Source organism: Homo sapiens, chromosome 13 (genome assembly GCF_000001405.40).
Source record: "Homo sapiens chromosome 13, GRCh38.p14 Primary Assembly".
NCBI lineage: Eukaryota > Metazoa > Chordata > Mammalia > Primates > Hominidae > Homo > Homo sapiens.
Window position 1 is genome coordinate 49,376,551 of NC_000013.11, and position 20,153 is coordinate 49,396,703.

General features: G+C 39.4%; 1 protein-coding gene across 12 annotated transcripts in view, besides 1 other annotated feature; it reads right to left on the reverse strand.

Annotated features, from left to right (window-relative positions):
- Positions 1-20,153, reverse strand: part of CAB39L (calcium binding protein 39 like) — a 135,415-nt gene that overhangs the window by 67,901 nt on the left and 47,361 nt on the right. For 11 of the 12 annotated variants that reach the window (NM_001079670.3, NM_001287337.2, XM_047430698.1 and 8 more), the window contains 2 exons: positions 6,250-6,391; positions 417-581 (listed from right to left, as the gene is read on the reverse strand). In NM_001079670.3, the coding sequence (NP_001073138.1) occupies positions 417-581; positions 6,250-6,360 (276 nt within the window). In that variant the 5' untranslated portion in view covers positions 6,361-6,391. Of the gene's footprint in view, positions 1-416; positions 582-6,249; positions 6,392-16,462; positions 16,530-20,153 lie in introns of all 12 variants that reach the window. The other variant, XM_047430696.1, reaches the window with a different exon arrangement.
- Positions 10,616-11,117: an enhancer, noted in NCBI's record as "NANOG hESC enhancer chr13:49961302-49961803 (GRCh37/hg19 assembly coordinates)". NCBI's record gives its function as "activates a minimal SCP1, AML or CMV promoter by ChIP-STARR-seq in naive H9 embryonic stem cells {active_cell/tissue: H9 hESC(naive)}" and the evidence as "EXISTENCE:reporter gene assay evidence [ECO:0000049][PMID:30033119]".

The window sequence follows — 20,153 nt, forward strand, 5'->3', positions numbered from 1 at the left end:
TGAAGTAAGTGAGTGACTTTGGGCAAATTACTTAATATCTTTGAACTTTAGGTTCTTCATCTATAACATGGGGCTAATAATACAGTATTAAACACAAAGGTAGTTTTAAGAATTCAACGAGTTGAATGCTTGAAACTGTACCTGGCATATAGCAAGCATTCAACAAATGTTACTTCTTATTATTACTTCTATTAACCGTTATCTTTGCTACCTAGCTGCATAAAACTTAACTATAGTTTGGCTTTTTGCTTTTGTAAAAAATAGATTAATTGTAGACATTTTAGAAAAAACTTTAAAAAATAACACATGGAAAGCCATAATGAAAAGCAAAAGTTGAATAGTAGATAGATAGATAGATAGATAGATAGATATTAAAATTGAAAAGCACCACTGACATCCTTTTACAGCTGGCTTACCTCAAAGTCTATCAGCTGCAGGTCAGCTATCAGTGTCACTAGCAGGCCACTGCTGTAGAGTTCTTGTGCTAGCTGAGCCACTGCTTCTGTTGGGGGTTCTTTCTCGTTTGTACCACACAGAATTTCTTTCATTGCTTGCAGTGATTTAGACACTTCTTCTGAAGCCTAGTGACCAAAACGTATGCTAACGGTTAAAAGAATAAAAATGTTTAGGCCATAAACAAACAAACAAATAATCCAAAAAACCACTTCTTGGTCTTGGGCTCTGTTTATTTATAATGAATGGCACAGTTACAAACAAACAAAAACAGTGAGGGGAATCACCATGTTTGGGTGGACCTAGTTTCTAATGGCTTGCATTTACATATCAAAGGTTGCCAGCCTGGCTCTAAGAGCCGGGGCTATACAAGAAACTTTTTCGGCTCTCCCTCTCCCTCTCCCTCTCCCTCTGTCTCCCTCTCCCCACGGTCTCCCTCTCATGCGGAGCCGAAGCTGGACTGTACTGCTGCCATCTCGGCTCACTGCAACCTCCCTGCCTGATTCTCCTGCCTCAGCCTGCCCAGTGCCTGCCATTGCAGGCACGCGCCGCCACGCCTGACTGGTTTTGGTGGAGACGGGGTTTCGCTGTGTTGGCCGGGCAGGTCTCCAGCCCCTAACCGCGAGTGATCCCGCCAACCTCAGCCTCCCGAGGTGCCGGGATTGCAGACGGAGTCTCGTTCACTCAGTGCTCAATGGTGCCCAGGCTGGAGTGCAGTGGCGTGATCTCGGCTCACTACAACCTACACCTCCCAGCCGCCTGCCTTGGCCTCCCAAAGTGCCGAGATTGCAGCCTCTGCCCGGCCGCCACCCCGTCTGGGATGTGAGGAGCCCCTCTGCCTGGCTGCCCAGTCTGGAAAGTGAGGAGCGTCTCCGCCCGGCCGCCATCCCATCTAGGAAGTGAGGAGCGCCTCTTCCCAGCCGCCATCACATCTAGGAAGTGAGGAGCGTCTCTGCCCGGCCGCCCATCGTCTGAGATGTGGGGAGCGCTTCTGCCCCGCCGCCCCATCTGGGATGTGAGGAGTGCCTCTGCCCGGCCGAGACCCCGTCTGGGAGGTGAGGAGCGTCTCTGCCCGGCCGCCCCGTCTGAGAAGTGAGGAGACCCTCTGCCTGGCAACCACCCCGTCTGAGAAGTGAGGAGCCCCTCCGCCCGGCAGCCGCCCCGTCTGAGAAGTGAGGAGCCTCTCCGCCCGGCAGCCACCCCATCTGGGAAGTGAGGAGCATCTCCGACCGGCAGCCACCCCGTCAGGGAGGGAGGTGGGGGGGGGTCAACCCCCCGCCCGGCCAGCCGCCCCATCTGGGAGGGAGGTGGGGGGTCAGCCCCCCCGACCGGCCAGCCGTGCCATCCGGGAGGGAGGTGGGGGGGTCAGCCCCCCACCTGGCCAGCCGTGCCGTCCGGGAGGGAGGTGGGGGGGTCAGCCCCCCGCCCGGCCAGCCGCCCCGTCGGGAGGTGAGGGGTGCCTCTGCCCGGCCACCCCTACTGGGAAGTGAGGAGCCCCTCAGCCCGGCCAGCCACCCCGTCCGGGAGGGAGATGGGGGGGTCAGCCCCCCCACCCGGCCAGCCGCCCCGTCCGGGAGGGAGGTGGGGGGGTCAGCCCTCCGCCCGGCCAGCCGCCCCGTCCGGGAGGTGAGGGGCGCCTCTGCCTGGCCGCCCCTACTGGGAAGTGAGGAGCCCCTCTGCCCAGCCAGCCGCCCCGTCCGGGAGGGAGGTGGGGGTGTCGGCCCCCCGCCCGGCCAGCCGCCCCGTCCGGGAGGGAGGTGGGGGGGGTCAGCCCCCCCGCCCGGCCAGCCGCCCCGTCCGGGAGGTGAGGGGCGCCTCTGCCCGGCCGCCCCTACTGGGAAGTGAGGAGCCCCTCTGCCCGGCCAGCCGCCCCGTCCGGGAGGGAGGTGGGGGGGGTCAGCCCCCCCGCCCGGCCAGCCGCCCCGTCCGGGAGGTGAGGGGCGCCTCTGCCCGGCCGCCCCTACTGGGAAGTGAGGAGCCCCTCTGCCCGGCCAGCCGCCCCGTCCGGGAGGGAGGTGGGGGTGTCAGCCCCCCGCCCGGCCAGCTGCCCCGTCCGAGAGGGAGGTGGGGGGGGTCAGCCCCCCCGCCCGGCCAGCCGCCCCGTCCGGGAGGTGAGGGGCGCCTCTGCCCGGCCGCCCCTACTGGGAAGTGAGGAGCCCCTCTGCCCGGCCACCACCCCGTCTGGGAGGTGTGCCCAACAGCTCATTGAGAACGGGCCAGGATGACAATGGCGGCTTTGTGGAATAGAAAGGCAGGAAAGGTGGGGAAAAGATTGAGAAATCGGATGGTTGCCGTGTCTGTGTAGAAAGAAGTAGACATGGGAGACTTTTCATTTTGTTCTGCACTAAGAAAAATTCCTCTGCCTTGGGATCCTGTTGATCTGTGACCTTACCCCCAACCCTGTGCTCTCTGAAACATGTGCTGTGTCCACTCAGGGTTAAATGGATTAAGGGCGGTGCAAGATGTGCTTTGTTAAACAGATGCTTGAAGGCAGCGTGCTCGTTAAGAGTCATCACCAATCCCTAATCTCAAGTAATCAGGGACACAAACACTGCGGAAGGCCGCAGGGTCCTCTGCCTAGGAAAACCAGAGACCTTTGTTCACTTGTTTATCTGCTGACCTTCCCTCCACTATTGTCCCATGACCCTGCCAAATCCCCCTCTGTGAGAAACACCCAAGAATTATCAATAAAAAAATAAATTTAAAAAAAAAAAAAAACAAAAAAACAAAAACAGTAAGCACTGCCTTTTTTATTTTGGAAAATATTATAAGTATTATAAAATTTATTTATATAAAACAGCTCTTTGGTATTTCTACTTAGTCAACATACACTAAATAATCTTTTTTTTTTTTTTTTAGATGGAGTCTTGCTCTGTTGCCCAGGCTGGAGTGCAGTGGCACAATCTTGGCTCACTGCAAGCTCCGCCTCCCAGGTTCATGTCATTCTCCTGCCTCAGCCTCCCAAGTAGCGGGGACTACAAGCACCCGCCACCACGCCCGGCTAATTTTTATACTTTTAGTAGAGACAGGGTTTCACTGCGTTAACCAGATGGTCTCGATCTCCTGAACTTGTGATTCGCCCACCTCAGCCTCCCAAAGTGCTGGGATTACAGGCGTGAGCCACTGCATCCGGCCCAGTAATCTTTTAAACCACACTCATTGTCTAATTTTGCTAGCAATTCAATATAAACTTTATGCTTGAAAATTAAATTGATTCCATTTTGAAGACTTATCAGTAGCTACTGATCTTTATTTAAAGCATTGTGTTAAGGTTTTTCAACAAATCCCTATTCCTCTGATTTTCGAATGGTCCAAGTATAAGATTGTAAATTGTCAAAACTCATAAGCTTTCTTTGTCAATCCATTTATTCCTCACACAGAATCACTGTCTTTTTTGCTATCTATGAAACTTAAAAAAAACTCACTATATTTTAAAGAATACTAGGCAAATCCATAGAGGCAGAAAGTACATAGATTAGTAGGTATTAGGGCCTGGGGGAGAGGGAAATAAGTAATGACTACTAATGGCTCCAGGGTTTCTTTTGGGAGTGATGAAAATGTTCTAGAATTAGATAGCGGTGAGTTGCAAAACTTTGTGAATGTACTAAAAACCAATGAATTGTACACTTTAAATAGTGAATTATATGGTATGTTAATTTTTAATATCTCAATTTAAAAATCTTTAAAATTAATATAGGTAGGAAAGGAGAGCAGATTAATTTAGTTAACAATTTGTCTGAATATTTTAAAGAAATATACTTTCATTACTTTTAAGTATAATATTGTAATCATTATAAATGAAGAAGGAAATGAGTAGAATAAGGCAAATTACATAAAAATAACTCATGGTAGCATGATGCAACTTTTGTTATTTATTTATTTTTATTTTTCTCTAGTTCTGCTTCTTGGGTGACGCTACTTTTATTTATTTGTTTATTTTTAAGATGGAGTTTTGCTCTTGTCACCGAGGCTGGAGTGCAACAGCACAATCTCAGCTCACTGCAACCTCTGCCTCCTGCGTTCAAGCGATTCTCCGGCCTCATCCTCCCTGGTAGCTGGGATTACAGGCACCCACCACCGTGCCTGGCTAATTTTTGTATTTTTAGTAGAGGCGGGGTTTCACCATGTTGGCCAGGCTGATCTCGAACTCCTGACCTTAGGTGATCTGCCCACCTCAGCCTCGCGAAGTGCTGGGATTACAGGCGTGAGCCACTGCGCCTGGCTGACACTACTTTTAAAAAGTAATTTTTCATATCCTTAATAGCCTGACTGAAGCAATCCTTAATGTACTAAAGACCGGAAGCATCTTAAATTGTGAGATATATCCACAGAAGAGTGCTTTAAACATACATGGAGAGTATGTTTAAGAGAGAGTTAAGGATAATAATAAAGGAAACATCTTTATGACCATCACCCAGTCAAGAAACAGGACATTTTCAGCACCCAGGAGTCACCTGAAGGCCCCTTTCAGCTCAGATGTAAATATTTTTATATCTCTTGTGACAAACATGTCTTTACATTTCTTATTATTCCTATTTTATAGATGAGAAAACTTAGGCTGAAACAATATAGCTTAGTTCCACTGATTTTCAACTTTATGGATCAGTACATTACCCCTTCATGACTTGCTTCTTTCATTCAACATTATTTTTAAGAAATGCATCTATACTGTTGCATGTAGGCAGAAGTTCTTTAATTTTTATCACTTTCTAATGTTCCACACTAATGCCTATACCACAACTTTTTTATTGGTTCTACTGTTCAAGGACATTGGGTTGTTTCCATGAAAGGATTTTTATTAACAACAATGCTATGAACATTCTTGTACATTTTTCCTGGTGCAGATGTGCAAGAATACCTCTAGAGTTTATAACTAGGAGTGGCACTGCAGGCACATGCATATCTTCGTATTTCACAGATAATAAACTGGTTTTCAAAGCAGTTACATCAATGTATATGTCATCATCCACAGTTAATGAAAGTCCTCATTGCTCTCCATCCTTGTCAACACTTAACATCATCACACCTTTTCATTTTTGCCAAGACAGTAGTTGTGTAATCTGAATTTATTGTGGTTTTAGTTGGCCTTTTCCTAGTTACTAATGAAAATGTGTAAAAAGGTTTTTTTTTCTTTTTTCTCTCTTCTACCATTTAGATTTATACTTGCAAAAAAGCCATTTTTCTTCTATTTGGGCCAAGATTTGGCTCAATATTACAAAGTGTACTAGAATTAGAATAAGCTATTTCTACACCCCTTGTAGAATTCAATATTGTATCATTTACTGGAATAGAAGGATACTATGAACTCGTGTATTTCTTTTATAGATATCTTGAATCTTGCCATAAACTTTAGAGAGAAATCGAATATATAGGATTCAATATCCCTTTGAAGGAATAACTAGCATTCCTATGAGGAAGCCCCACTTAATAAGACCTTAAAACCGTATGAAAATGAGATTCACTGTAACAGAAACTATCAGTCAATCTTTAAATAAAAACTTTTTACCTTTCATGTAAATGTAACATTACACACCAGTATAACCTTTTAGATCTTTAAGCTGTGTAGTCTAGAGGGATCCGGTGTGGTCAGAGTCTCTAGAGAGTGAACCTAAAGTTCATCACAACAGACTAAATAATAATCAGTTGCATAAAACCTGAAATCAACTTAAATCTATTTATAGAGGGTCTATGTGCACATCACAGACCATATTTTGAATTCTTCATTAAGCTTTTACATTGGTTTTTGGCATTGCGATGCATGTACTTTAATCATAATGTTACTGTTTTAGCTCTTACCTTGTCTGTCTTTTTGTCTTGCTTTTCCAAAATGGCCAAATTGTCTTTCAGGATTTTCACAATTTCTGCTGGATTTTTGTGTGATTTACTAAACAAAGGCATTTTTTTCATGTGTAGAAATCTCTTCTTCCAATATGGAATGCTAAAAACAAATAAGCCAACAAAAATTATAACTTTAACTCTTAATATGCTTAAATTTTTATACCAATGTCTTATAAGTTTTCAATAACATGAATTCAGTAATCTGAAACATTAAAAGTGATCAAATTAAAATGAGTTTCAAGTTTTATGCCAAATTTAAATACATATATTTTTAAAAAGATATTTTTAAAGTTTTGCTTGAAAGTTTTTATACAAAGTTTAAAATCTTTCCTGCAATAGAAACATAAGGATTATACAAGAAATAATTTTAGAGTCCAAGTTGATATGTAAAACTAGATATTTTGACCAAAGAAAGTGATAATAATAATAAATATATTCTATAATGTTTAGCTATATGTATTCTATAATGCTTAGCTGCTATTATTACAAGAAGTTCCATGACATAGTTAATGAACTATTTCACAAAAGAGAAAGGCACAGTAGTTTAGATATGATTCTATCTTAAATGTCCTAGACATTTCTGGCTCTTTGAGTCAATTATACCTTTTTCCATTATTTTAAAAAACATAAACTTATTCTCTGAATGCATAATAATCAATGATCAAATATTTTGCATTAAAGTAGAATTTTAAAAAGAAGCCAAATGCATTCATGTATAGACATACCTAGGAGATACTGTAGGTTCAGTTCCAGACCATTGCAATAAAGCAAATTTCCCAATAAAGTGAGTCATAAAATGTATTTGGTTTTTCCTAGTACATATAAAAGTTATATTTACGCTATACTGCAGTCTATTAAGTGTGCAATAGTATTATATCTAAACTGATGGGTGCAGCACACCAACATGGCACATGTATACATATGTAACTAACTTGCACATTGTGCACATGTACCCTAAAACTTAAAGTATAATAAAACAAAAACAAAAGCAAAAACAAAATGAAAACAATATGTATAACTTGATTTATAAAAATATTTATTGCCTGACCCTTCAGTGAGTCCTAATCTTTTTGCTGGTTGGAGAGTCTTGCATTAATGTTGATGGCTGCTGACTGATCAGGTTGTTGGCTGCTGAAGGATGGAGTAGCTGTGGCGATTTCTTAAAAGAAGACAATAAAGTTTGCTACGTTGACTCTTCCTTTCATGGAAGATTTCTCTATAGCATGTGATGCAGTTTGTTAGCATTTTACTCACAGTAGAACTGCTTTCAAAATTGAAGTCAGTCCTCTCAAAACCTGCCACTGCTTTATCAGCTAAATTTATGTAATATTCTAAATCCTTTGTTGTCATTTCATCTTCAGCAGGAGTAGATTCCATCTTAAGAAACCACTTTCTTTGCTCATCCATAGAAGCAACATTCCTCACCTGTTCAAGTTTTATCGTGAGATTGCAGCAATTCAGTCACATCTTCAGGCTCTATTCTTAATTCTTGTTCCCTTGTTATTTCCACCATATTGGCAGTTACTTCCTCCACTGAAGTCTTGAACCCCTCAAAGTTACCCATGAGAGTTAGAACCAACTTCTTCTGAACTCCTGAAAATGTTGATATTTTGACCTCCTCCCATGAATCACAAATGTTCTTAATGGCATCTAGAATGATGAATCTTTTACAGCAGGTTTTTCTATTAAGTTTGCCCAGATCCATTAGAGGAATCACTATCTATGGCTGCTTGCATCTTATGAAATGTATTTCTTTTGTTTGTTTTTTTAACTTTTATTAGAACAATATGAACATATGAAATGTATTTCTTTAACAAGTCTGGAAAGTCAAAATTACTCCTTTATCCATGGGCTGCAGAATGGATGTTAACAGGCATGAAAACAACATTAACCTCCTTGTAAACCTCCATCAGAGCTCCTGGATGATGAGGTACATTGTCAATGAGCAGTAATATTTTCAAAGGAATATTTTATTCTGAGCAGTGGGTCTCAACAGAAGGCTTAAAATATTCAGTAAACCATGCTGTCATCAGGCTTTGTTGTTCCATTTATGGAGCACAGGCCAAATAGATTTAGCATAATTCTTAAGAGCCTAGGGTTTTTGGAATGGGAAATGAATATTAGCTCCTACTTCAAGTTACCAGCTGCATTAGCTCCTAACTAGAGAGTCAGCTTGTCCTTTAAAGCCAGGCACTGACTCCTCCTTTCTAGCTATGAAAATCCTAGATGGCATCTTCTTCCAATACGAGGGTGTTCCATCTACACTGAAAATCTGTTGTTTTGTGTGGCCACCCTCACCAATGATCTCAGCTAGATCTTCTGGATAACTTGCTGCAGCTTCTATAAATAGCACTTGCTGCTTTTTCCCCTGCACTTTTATGTTCTGGAGATGGCTTCTTTCTTTAAACCTCATGGAGCAATCTCTTTTAGCTTCAGACTTTTCTTCTGCATCTTCCTTACCTCTCTCAGCCTTCACAGAACTGAAGAAAGCTGGGGACTTGCTCTGGACTAGGCTAAAGGGAATGTGTGTCTGGTTTGATCTTCTATCCAGACCACTGAAACTGTCTTCGTATTAACAATTAGCTGTTTTGTTTTCTTATTATTTGTGTTTTCACTGGAGTAGCACTTTTCATTTTCTTCAAGAACTTTTCCTTTGCATCCACAGCTTGGCTAACTTACTGATGCAAAAGGCCTAGCTTTCAGCCTACCTCCGCTCTGGATATGCCTTCCTCACTAAGACTAATCATTTTTCCATCTTTTGATTTAAAGTGAGAGATATGTGACTCTTCCTTTTCCTTGAACACGTAGAGGCCACTTATAGGGTTATGAGCCAGCCTAATTTCAGTATTGTTGTATCTTAGGGAACAGGGAGGCCTGAGGAAAGTGAGACAGGGGAACGGCCAGTCGATGGGGCACTCAGAACACATGCAACATTTATCGATTATGGGCACAGTCTGTGGTGTCCCAAAACAATTACAATAGTTAACATCAGAGATCACTGATCACAGATCACCACAACATATGTACTAACAATGAAAAAGTTTGAAATATTGTGAGAATTAACAAAATGTATCAAGAGATACAAAGTGAGCACATGCTGGTGAAAAAAATGGCACCAATAGACTTCCTCAATGCAGGGTTGCCATAAACCTTCAATTTTTCAAAAACACGGTGTCTTCAAAGCACAACAAAGGTGAAACACAATAAAATACGGTATGCCTGTAATTGCTGTCTTTCTCCCTGTAGTTCTATAGCACTAAGGGAAAGATATATAACTGTAGGAATTTTAAATACTCCCTGACATCAAAACAGAGTACAAATTATAACATGGTATCATAGATATGATATGATTTTTTGTCCATTATTACTTTGCTTGGTTCTCACTGTAACAAGCTAATGCTAATTTACTTAAATTAAAAACGTTTTCAGGGTTTCCATGTCAATCTGGTGATAAGCATTTTCTGATTCACTATCTCCCCTTTTCATCTGATGGTGGGTTTGTTCATTTATTCATTGAATAAATAATCTGAGTAATTACTGAGCACAGGCACTTTGCTAAATACTAGGGATAGAGCCACAAACAAGAAAAACACAATCCCTGTTCTTTGAAGCCTATTATTAAGTGGAAAAAGCAAACATTTTAGGGCAATGGGGTTATATAATGGGGAAATAACACACAGTATACTGCCTCAATACAATCTCCTTTAAAAATTACTTTCATATTTTACTATACCTACTTATTGTAATAAGTATAATATGATTAGTTTAACAATGTTTTAAAATTTCATCTTATCATTATTCTTCTATTTTGGGATCCATATTTTGAAGGAAATCAAAGTTCATGCTCTTAAACTATGCTTGAGTTCCAGCACCCAGACCCCCTGCAAATTAAGGCAGAACTCTCCTGCCTCTCCCAGTTCTTCTCAGACCATGGCCAGCCCCACTCCATTCCCAGACTAAACACCTCCCCCACTCCCAGACTAAACACCTCCCCCACTCCCAGACTAAACACCTCCCCCACTCCAAGACTAAACACCTCCTCCATCACCTGGAAACTTGAGGCTGCCTTTCTCACACTCTGGGCGACCATGCTGGTCACTATATATACATCTACTCCAATCACATCATTTAGCCCACTGGTGGTCATTTAAGCAATGAAGCAAGTAGCACTCAAACCTTCTACACAAACACAAGACACGTAAACTCCCTCTAGTTGATTGTAACTGATCTGCTGTATGATTCAAAAGAAGTTAATCACCCCCTTCTAGGTGTCACTTGTTCTATCTGTAAAACGAAGTTGTTCTTAAAGTAAGATTGAGCATCAGGGCTCTAGGTTATTCACCACTGTCCCACACCCATTCTGAGTCTTTAACCCCCAGTATCCTATCATGATAAAGATAAAGCCAAAAATAAAGTGCTTAAGCTGGGAACAAAAGGAATGGAGAGGCCTGACAATGGTGCCTTGTGGGGATAAGGTGGCAGGAAAGTAATTTTTCCATAAAGTCTACCTCAGAGTTTTAAGAACATACATTCTGTTTCAGCAAAGCAGGCAGTGGGGACAGGAAAAGACGCATGTTAGTCCAGAAGGCTGACACTAGATAAATGCCTCCTAGGCATTGAAAACGGTGTTGAGACCACGCACATCAACGTGCCCTCAGCATTAATGCTGACAGCAGGCCATGCAGCACAGAAATGTTAGTGGACTGACAATGGCCCTGTTATACTTTTCCTCTTCCAGCAGTCAGTAAGCAGAATAAACAACAAATAGGTTGTTTATTATTATTAAAGGAACACAATGAAAGGAAATAAATGCCCTGCAGACTTGGGCAAGAAAGGTTGCTTCTGAAATTAATTCTCTATAAAGCTAGAACAGATATAAATTTAAGAAAAGAAGAAAAGGAGACAAAAAGCTCTTTTAGACAAAAAAAAGAGCTAGCCAAGGTAAAAGACTGAAAATACACACATATATGCACATATAAATACACACATGCCCAAGATGCAGACTGGGAATCCCAAACTGCATAGAGCAGAATAACAATACAGAAAATGGGTCTGGGGCAACTTCAAGGTACAAAATTAGTTAGTGTGCATGTATTCATTCGAAAAGTATTTACTGAGCACTTATAATGTACTAGGCACTGAACAAGGAAATACGAAACAAAGAAGCCTCAAAGGGCTCACGATGTAGTGAGAGACACAGACACGTGCAAAATTTTCCCAGAAGGCGAGAAAAGGTCGAAAAAACTAAAATGATGAAGAAAAGATATAGAGTGTGTATGGATACATATCTTTATATCTATATAGGTATTTTATAGCGATATGAAGAAAATGGAGTGTTATCCCCTAACAAACAGGTGTTACAACAATGGAGGGGGGAGGATAGGAAGCCAAAAACAGCAAAGGCATTAAAACTGGAACAGAATCAAAGATATAACAGCGTAAACAGAAAAACAATCTAAACTTGATCATTCGAACGATTTTTCTAGTTGAGATTCATGATAAGACCCAACATTCAGTGTCTTGCAGCTTTTAAAATAAACATTTCCTTCTCAGATCACATTCCAACAAAATGACCTTAAAAAAACAAACGAAAGCATAAAAATCAGGTTGGTTTTAGACTTCCATGAACCAAATGCCCCAAGGCCATGGAGAAAACCTAGAGTTCTGATAAGTAAAGTCTATAACACCATAATTAAATCCTTAGCCAATATACCATTTATGTGTGAACAGATAGTGTATATTTACTAAAAATGGAACAAAAAGATGAGATGGAATGAGGCCCACAAAGAGCTCAACAAAATTAATGCTAAAAAATCAGAAATAGTTCTTGAAAAGGAGCCTGTATATTGTTGGCAGAACATGTGGGAGGGTGAGAATCTACAATTATAACTCATTCATATAGGAATAAAAATAAATAAGGATTCAACTAAAGAAGTTAAAAAGGAAACTGCCCCAAAAATCTCCAAGAAAAGATGGATGGAAATAATGATAGAAGTAGAAATAACTCAATCAGAGAAGTAAAAGAAAAGGAAGAAAACCTCTGGTAGCTATTTGGTCCGGGTTTCTTCTGGTGATAGATGTGTCTGCCCTACTTCCCACATCACCTCACCCCAACAAAAGCGGGGGAACATGACCCAGGTTTGGCCACAGTATTCCCTGTCCTGGATGCAGCAACTAGCTAGTAAATAGATTGTGACATAGCCAATCAAAATAAAAAAGAAGAAAGAAAAGTGTTGATGAGAATGCTGAGAAAAGGGAACTCTTGTACATTGTTGGTGGGAAGGTGAATTAGAACAGCCACTATAAGAAACGGTGTGGATGATATGCCAAAAATAAAAATGGAACTACCACATGATCCAGTAATCCCACTTCTGGGTATATATCCAAAGGAACTGAAATCAGTATGTCAAGGAAATATCTGCACTTCCGTATTCATTGCAACCTTATTTACAATAGCCAAGACATGGAACCAACCTAAGTGTCCATCAAAAGATAAATAGATAAAAAATGTAGTACAGGCTGGGTGCGGTGGCTCAGTCCTGTAATCCCAACACTTTGGGAGGCCAAGATGGGTGGATCACTTGAGTCCAGGAGTTCGAGACCAGCATGGCCAACATGGGGAAACCCCGTCTCCACAAAAAATACAAAAATTAGCTGGGTGTGGTGGCAGGCACCTATACTCCCAGCTACTCAAGAGGCTGAGGCATGAGAATCGCTTGAACCCAGGGGGCAGAGGTTTCAGTGAGCCAAGATGTGCCACTGCACTCCAGCCTGGGTGACAAAACAAGACTCTGTCTCAAAAAACAAAACACTGCTTTAAAATAGATTCAAAGCAGAGACAAAAGAGAAAATGGCTATATCTTCATTCGATATAGCCAAATTGCTTTCTCAAGTTTTTATTCCAGTTTATACTTTCACAGCTGTGTAGTGTGAGTTGCAGTTATCACCCATCCTTCCTAACATTTGGACCTGTCAGAATTTAAAAATTTCGCCAGTATGACAGCTGTAAAAGGTTGTCCCATTATGGTTGGAGTGCAGTTGTGTAATAACCGCTTGCTGCAGTCTTGACCTGTTGGGTTCAAGCAATCTTCCCACCTCAGCCTCCCAAGTAGCTGGGACCACAGGCATGTGCCACCATGTCCGGTTAATTTTTGTATTTTTAGTAGAGACGGGGTTTGCCATGTTACCCAGGCTGGCCTCGAACTCCTGGCTAATTTTAATTTTATGTAGAGACATGGTCTCTGTATGTTGCCCAGGCTGGTCTCAAACTCCTGAGTTTAAATGATCCTCTCACCTTGGCCTCCCAAAGTGTTGGGGTTACAGGTGTGAGCCACCACACCTGACCCATACTAGCTTTTTAACTTTCTTATTCTGTACATTTCCTAATTCTATACTTTGCCCATTTCATATTTAAAAAAAATTTTAGAGACAAGTTCTTGCTCTGTCACCTAGGCTGGAGTGCAGTGGCAGTCACAGCTTACTGCAGCCTCGAACTCCTGACCTTAAGTGATCCTCCCACCTCAGCCTTACAAAGTCCTGGGATAATAGGCGTGAGCCACTGTGCCCAGCTACTTTGCCCAGTTCTTTAAGGTGGCTGAAGAAAGTCATATCAGCTGCCAATACCAACTAGTACAGTCCCTCGCTAATAAATATAAATCACGTGCAAGAATCATGAGGTGTTTGATGAAAATCAAGAATATAAAAGAGAAATGTAAAAATAAATAGAGCAAACCCTGGGGGGGATGGTAAAAATTATATTATATTTATATAACCAAAAGATATACTATGCTATCACATCCATAAAATAAGAACAGGCTGCTATGAAAAAGAAGTAAACAATGAATGAGAAAACATTCTTGGAACTAAGAACATGCAATGCAATAGAATAGCTGATTGGTAGAAGGGTATAGAATTGAAAAACAAATCCACAATTTAAAGACCAAGCCATGGAAATCTGGAATGAAGAGTAAAATACAAAGAAAAGCAAAGAACTAATTCACAGAAAAGTTGGAAATATACAGGGTAGAGCTGGAGAGCCAATATTGATTGAATATAAATGCTTAAAGGAAAAGAAAAAAACAGATAACTGATGAGAGAGTAACAAATACATCAACAAATAAAAAGGAAGCAAAATTCCTAGAGCTGAACATGTCTTCAGATTTAAGTAAACTAATGGTTATTACACAGAGGGAATGCAAAAAGGCCTATTCCAAGATACACTGTGAAATTTCTGAACTCTAAAGCGAAATCCCACAAACTTCCATAAAGGGGAAAAATCTAGAGTGGCACCTAAGAACCAGACTGTCAGAGTGGAATCAGGATTAGTAACTTCACACCAAATGACAGAAGGCAGTGAAACACTGTTTACATAGTTTCTAGGGAAAAAGATTTTTCACCTAGAATTCTATACTTTACCAATTATGCAGATGTGAGGGCAAACTAAAATTACCTAAGGACAAAGATGGTGAAGGAGTAGGGGGAAGAGAAAGGAAGATGGAGGAGAAACAGAAAAATGAGAAAACAGTTGAAAAGTAAGCAGTTGAGCAAAGAAACCAATAAAATACATGGCTAAATCTAAGTAAAGGTTGATAATGTGTCTGTGATGCTTAATATGACTGCTAAAAATGTATTCCTGAAGTATTTTGATAGAGGCAAAATGTTTTTTAAAAAATCCAACCATCTGGAAAAATACAACTAAAATTCTTTTATAGACTTTGTTCAAGGAAAAGGATAGAAATAATGATTAAATCATAATAAAATTTATATGGGTTTGTCATGCCAAACTAATTTAAGTCTCTGGGTTTTCTATAATCACATCATACACAAATTAAGATAAACCTGTTTCTTGAATTGTTTATTAAACATTTAATGATGAATATTAGAATAATGGAAGTAGGATGCAACCACCAGAAGGGGGAAAACAGGAACAAAAATAATTTGACCAAATCAGCAAAAATCAGGAATGAAAAGGAAAGTATAAACAAATAGTAAACAGAGAATATAAAACAATATAGAAGGAATAAGAGCAACCAATAATTACAATACATACAAATGTGTTAAATTCTACTACTAAAAAACCAAGACTCTCAAACTCTCAAATTGGGTTCACACACACACACACACACACACATTTCTGCTCTAAATTCTGCAAGAGCCATAATAGAAACAAAACGACACAAAAATGTTCAGAATAAAAGGATGCATAAATATATATCAAGCAATATTACAACATGAATATAAGAAATGCAGAGTTCATGAGAAATTATACACACACACACACAAAGCATTTAATATATGTATTTAGTTGTCATGAAGAGAATATATAGAGGTTATTATACTACATATACAGTGTATGTAATAGACATAATCATACATATAAAGCCAATTACCCTTGCAAATTTAATACTATTTCATATGTATATTAGGTACAATAAAGGCTATATTAAATAGTTTTAATTTGGTGACCTTAATATGCTCTAGGTAGAACAAGGAAGTCATTGCTTGAAAGGAAACAGAGGAACAGGCGGTGGTTCACGCCTGTAATCCCAGCACTCTGGGAGGCCGAGGTGGGCAGATCACAAGGTCAGGAGTTTGAGACCAGCCTGGCCAACATGGTGAAACCCCATCTCTACTAAAAATACAAAAAAAAATTAGCTGGGCATGGTGGTGCATGCCAGCAATCCCAGCTACTCAGGAGGCTGAGGCAGGAGAATCACTGGAATCCGGGAGGCAGAGGTTGCAGTGAGCCGAGATTGTACCACTGTACTTCCAGCCTGGGCGACAGAGCAAGACTCTGTCTCAAAAAAAACAAAAACAAAACAAAACAAAAAACAGAGGAGTCTGGTAGGGAAAGAGATAAAAGATAGCTACTGACAGAAATGAGAACAGGAGCTACTGGGAAAGTGATCTACATTATTTTCAGTTTAAATATGTTCAATACAGACCCTAAGTAAAATTCTGGCCAATAAAAATCAAAAGCTGTGTTTACAAAACAAAATACCAAATCAGGTTTTTAATAATAGAAAATTGATGAATATAATAAATTATATCAATAAGTCAAATAAAAATTATCTCAGTGGCATCTGAAAAAGTTATCTAATAAAATTAAAACCAAGAGAGATACAAATCTTAGCTCAATTTACAAAAAAATGGTTAATGGAGGCATACTTACTAAAAGGAGGTATAAAACAAAGGTCATCACAATCACGCTATCATTACCATATGTTGTGATCAATGCACTAAAATATAAAACATAAATAAATGCTACAAAATTTGGGAAGGATGTGACAAAATTGTAATTAACAGACAATATGATTATATACCTAAAAATATGAACAACTGAAATTAGTAGAAATTAGGTTAAGTAGTCAAATACATGATAAATATACATACAGCTTTCACATATAAGAAATTGCCAGTCAGAAAACATAATGAAAAGCATATTTTGATCATACTGCCAACTAAATATGTACAAAATCTATACCAGATCTGTATTTTAAAAAACTACAAAACCTTAATTTCGAAAATAGGATAATTACTCTTCCTGAAATAGAAAACTAACAAATAAAACAGAGAAATAGAAGATGTACTTATAGATGTATGTGTCTATTTATCTATTCATCCCTTCAGCTAGCCATCCTTTTAATCTTATAGTCACAGAATGATTCTAGAATGTGGCTTAGCTAATCTTAATGACATTATCTAAATTATGAGATTTGTGATGGTTTAACTTTCTTCATGTAGGTATTTTTCTGCATTATTTATAATGAGCACATTTCTTTTTTCTGAAATAATAAAGAGACTGTGGAGAAAACCTACATAATTAAGATAGGAAAGATTTGAGGTTAAAAAAAACACTCTATTTTGTTCTTGAATAGACAGAATAAATATTATTTAAATGTCAGTTATTCTTAAAGTCCACAGTTTGATACAGTTCCAATCAAATGTCCAAAAAAATTTTTTTGGTATCTAAATTTAGTCAAGAATACTAAATAAGCAAGAATAACAAATTTTAAAAAGGAAAATTAGGAGGAAATGAAATGAAAAGTGTTATAAAGTACTGTAACACAGTAATAGCACAAGAAACAAACACATCAATGAACAACACAGCTCAGATATAGATGTTAATATAAGTGACTTTCAAATTTCTGGATGTGAAATAGTTTCTGTAATTTTATAAGTGATAAAATAAATTTCAAAGAAAAAGACCAACAAATCAAAGTTAATACGAATATGCCACAAACACAAAAATTTGAATTTCTATAGATAAATAATAAAAAAAATTATAGGCAAACAACAAACTAGAGAATTCTGTGATATGAATCTGAAAGATGGAGGGCTAATATCATTACAAAAGATCTCTTTAAGACAATTAAGAAAATCATTAAGGAAACATACAGATAAGTGAAAACCATAAATGAGGAATTACAGTTAATGAACATATTAGTAAATGTTTAACCATTCTCTATAATAAAAAAAAATGCAAACTCAAAGTGAAAGACTATTTTGTCCATTATGTTACTAAGTTTTTTGTTGTTTTGACAAACTCAATTCTATTGATGGTATTTTGCAACAGGCTCTCATTTCTTACTGGTGCAGATATAAATTAGACAATAATTTGACAAATATGAATCTAGAACCTTAAAATGTTCACAACCTCTGGCTTTATAGTAATTCCATTTCTGGTAATCTGTCCTAGGAAAATAAACTAAAATAAAGGATTATCTTTACATGCAAAAATGTTTACTGCAATTTTTTATCATAAAAAACTGAGAAATATCTAATCTAACAGAGGGAAATAATTAAATTGTGATATACCCAGTTGATGGAACATTAGCATATGTCACAGATTTTTTAAACTTTTAAACTTTTTACAATTATTTTACATTTTAACATTTTCAAAGCTTAGGTGTGTCTTACAATTGTTGGTGCCTTACACTAACAGGCAGATTCTTTTCTTTCTCGGTTGTACATAAAGTAACCATATGTCTTAAAACCAGCGACTTATTAAATTTGATGAAATATGTCTAGGAAAATATTTCCAAAGAATGTGAAATAGAATGGAAATGTTAATGTTAAAAACAACATCCCAAATTACAGAGCATAACTACAACTATGTAAAGCAAACAAAAACACAAACACACAAAACCTATGTATAGAAAAAATAATTTTGAAATGTTAACGGTGATTGCCTCTGAGTAATGTAGTTTGCTTGTGGATGCTTAATTTCCTTCTTTCTTCAAATGTTCTGTTTTTTCCGAAGCTTGTATAATAGATCATGCAAATGCTTTTATAGTAGAAATGTCTCTCTTAAATGGTATTTTGAATGAATAAACAAATAACCTTTTTTTTTTAAGTTCAAACTGTGGAATATCTGATTGTCATGTCTTTTCTTTCTTTTTTTTTTTTTTCTGAGACGGAGTCTCACTCTATTGCCTAGGCTGGAGTGCAATGGCATGATCTCGGCTCACTGCAACCTCCGCCCCCCGGGTTCAAGCGATTCTCCTGCCTCAGCCTCCCGAGTAGCTGGGATTACAGGCACTCACCACCACGTTCGGCTATTTTTGTATTTTAGTAGAGACAGGGTTTTACCATGTTGGCCAGGCTGGTCTGGAACTCCTGACCTTGTGATCTGCCTGCCTCAGCCTCTCAAAGTGCTGGGATTACAGGCATGAGCCACCACGCCTGGCCTGTCATGTCTTTTCAAAGCATTATTCAAACATGATTTCTTTGGCTATAAAGTTTCATAAAGAGTAGTACTTGGCTCAGATTCTGGAGAGAAAGCCAAAAAAGATCATCCAACTCTGCTCCCAGGGAACTCACACCCTGTAGATTTTGTAGTAGATTTTGGCAGCATTCTCTTTCCTAATACACAGTAAAATATTTCATATTCCTAACTTGTGTGTGAGCACCATTGAAGATGGCCCAAAATCAACCACCCAATTGAGTCATCTGAATATGTTCAGTGACATAAATGGAAAGGAGAGTTGGCAGGGGGCAGGGGGGTAGGAGAGGACCTAGGGGAAGAGGGGAATAGCCACTTGGAGCATTAAATGCCCTTGTTGTTATCCCACTTAAAATATTTCAAAGGGAAAAATGTCTAATATCTAATCTCTAACTATGCTATTCAATAATAATTTGAGGCCAGGTGCGGTAGCTCACACCTGTAATCCTAACACTTTGGGAGGTCAAGGCTGCAGTGAGCCATGTTTGTGCCACTGCACTCCAGCCTGGGCAACACAGTGAGACTCTGTCTCAAAAAAAAAAACTTAAAAAAATAACATTTTGAATGTCAAAGTTTTCCCAGGAAAACTGAAGGGAGTGGGAAATTTATATCTGAAGCCAAAAGAGATGTCTCAACATTTCCAGAGGTATAACCAAACTGCTAACTCATTTTAAGAAAGACAACTAAAAAATGAACCTTCTTTTCCTCACATAAGTTTATTTTACAATCAACAATGAGTTAGACAGGAACATTTCCAAAATGATTTCTTAAGAGCTTGTTAATTTAACTTAAGGCACAGGCACCTTCTGTTAAACTAAAAAAATTAAAATAAACCTACCACCACATAAAAAAAAATTTCAGGGCCAGGCGCGGTGGCTCACACCTGGAATCCCAGCACTTTGCGGGGCTAAGGTGGGTGGATCACATGAGGTCAGGAGATTGAGACCAGCCTAGCCAACATGGTGAAACCTCGTCTCTACTAAAATACAAAAATTAGCCGGGTGTGGTGGCAGGCGCCTGTAATCCCAGCTACTCAGGAGGGTGAGGCAGGAGAATCACTTGAACCCAGAAGGCGGAGGTTGCAGTGAGCCAAGATCGCACCACTGCACTCCAGCCTGGGTGATATAGCGAGATTCCA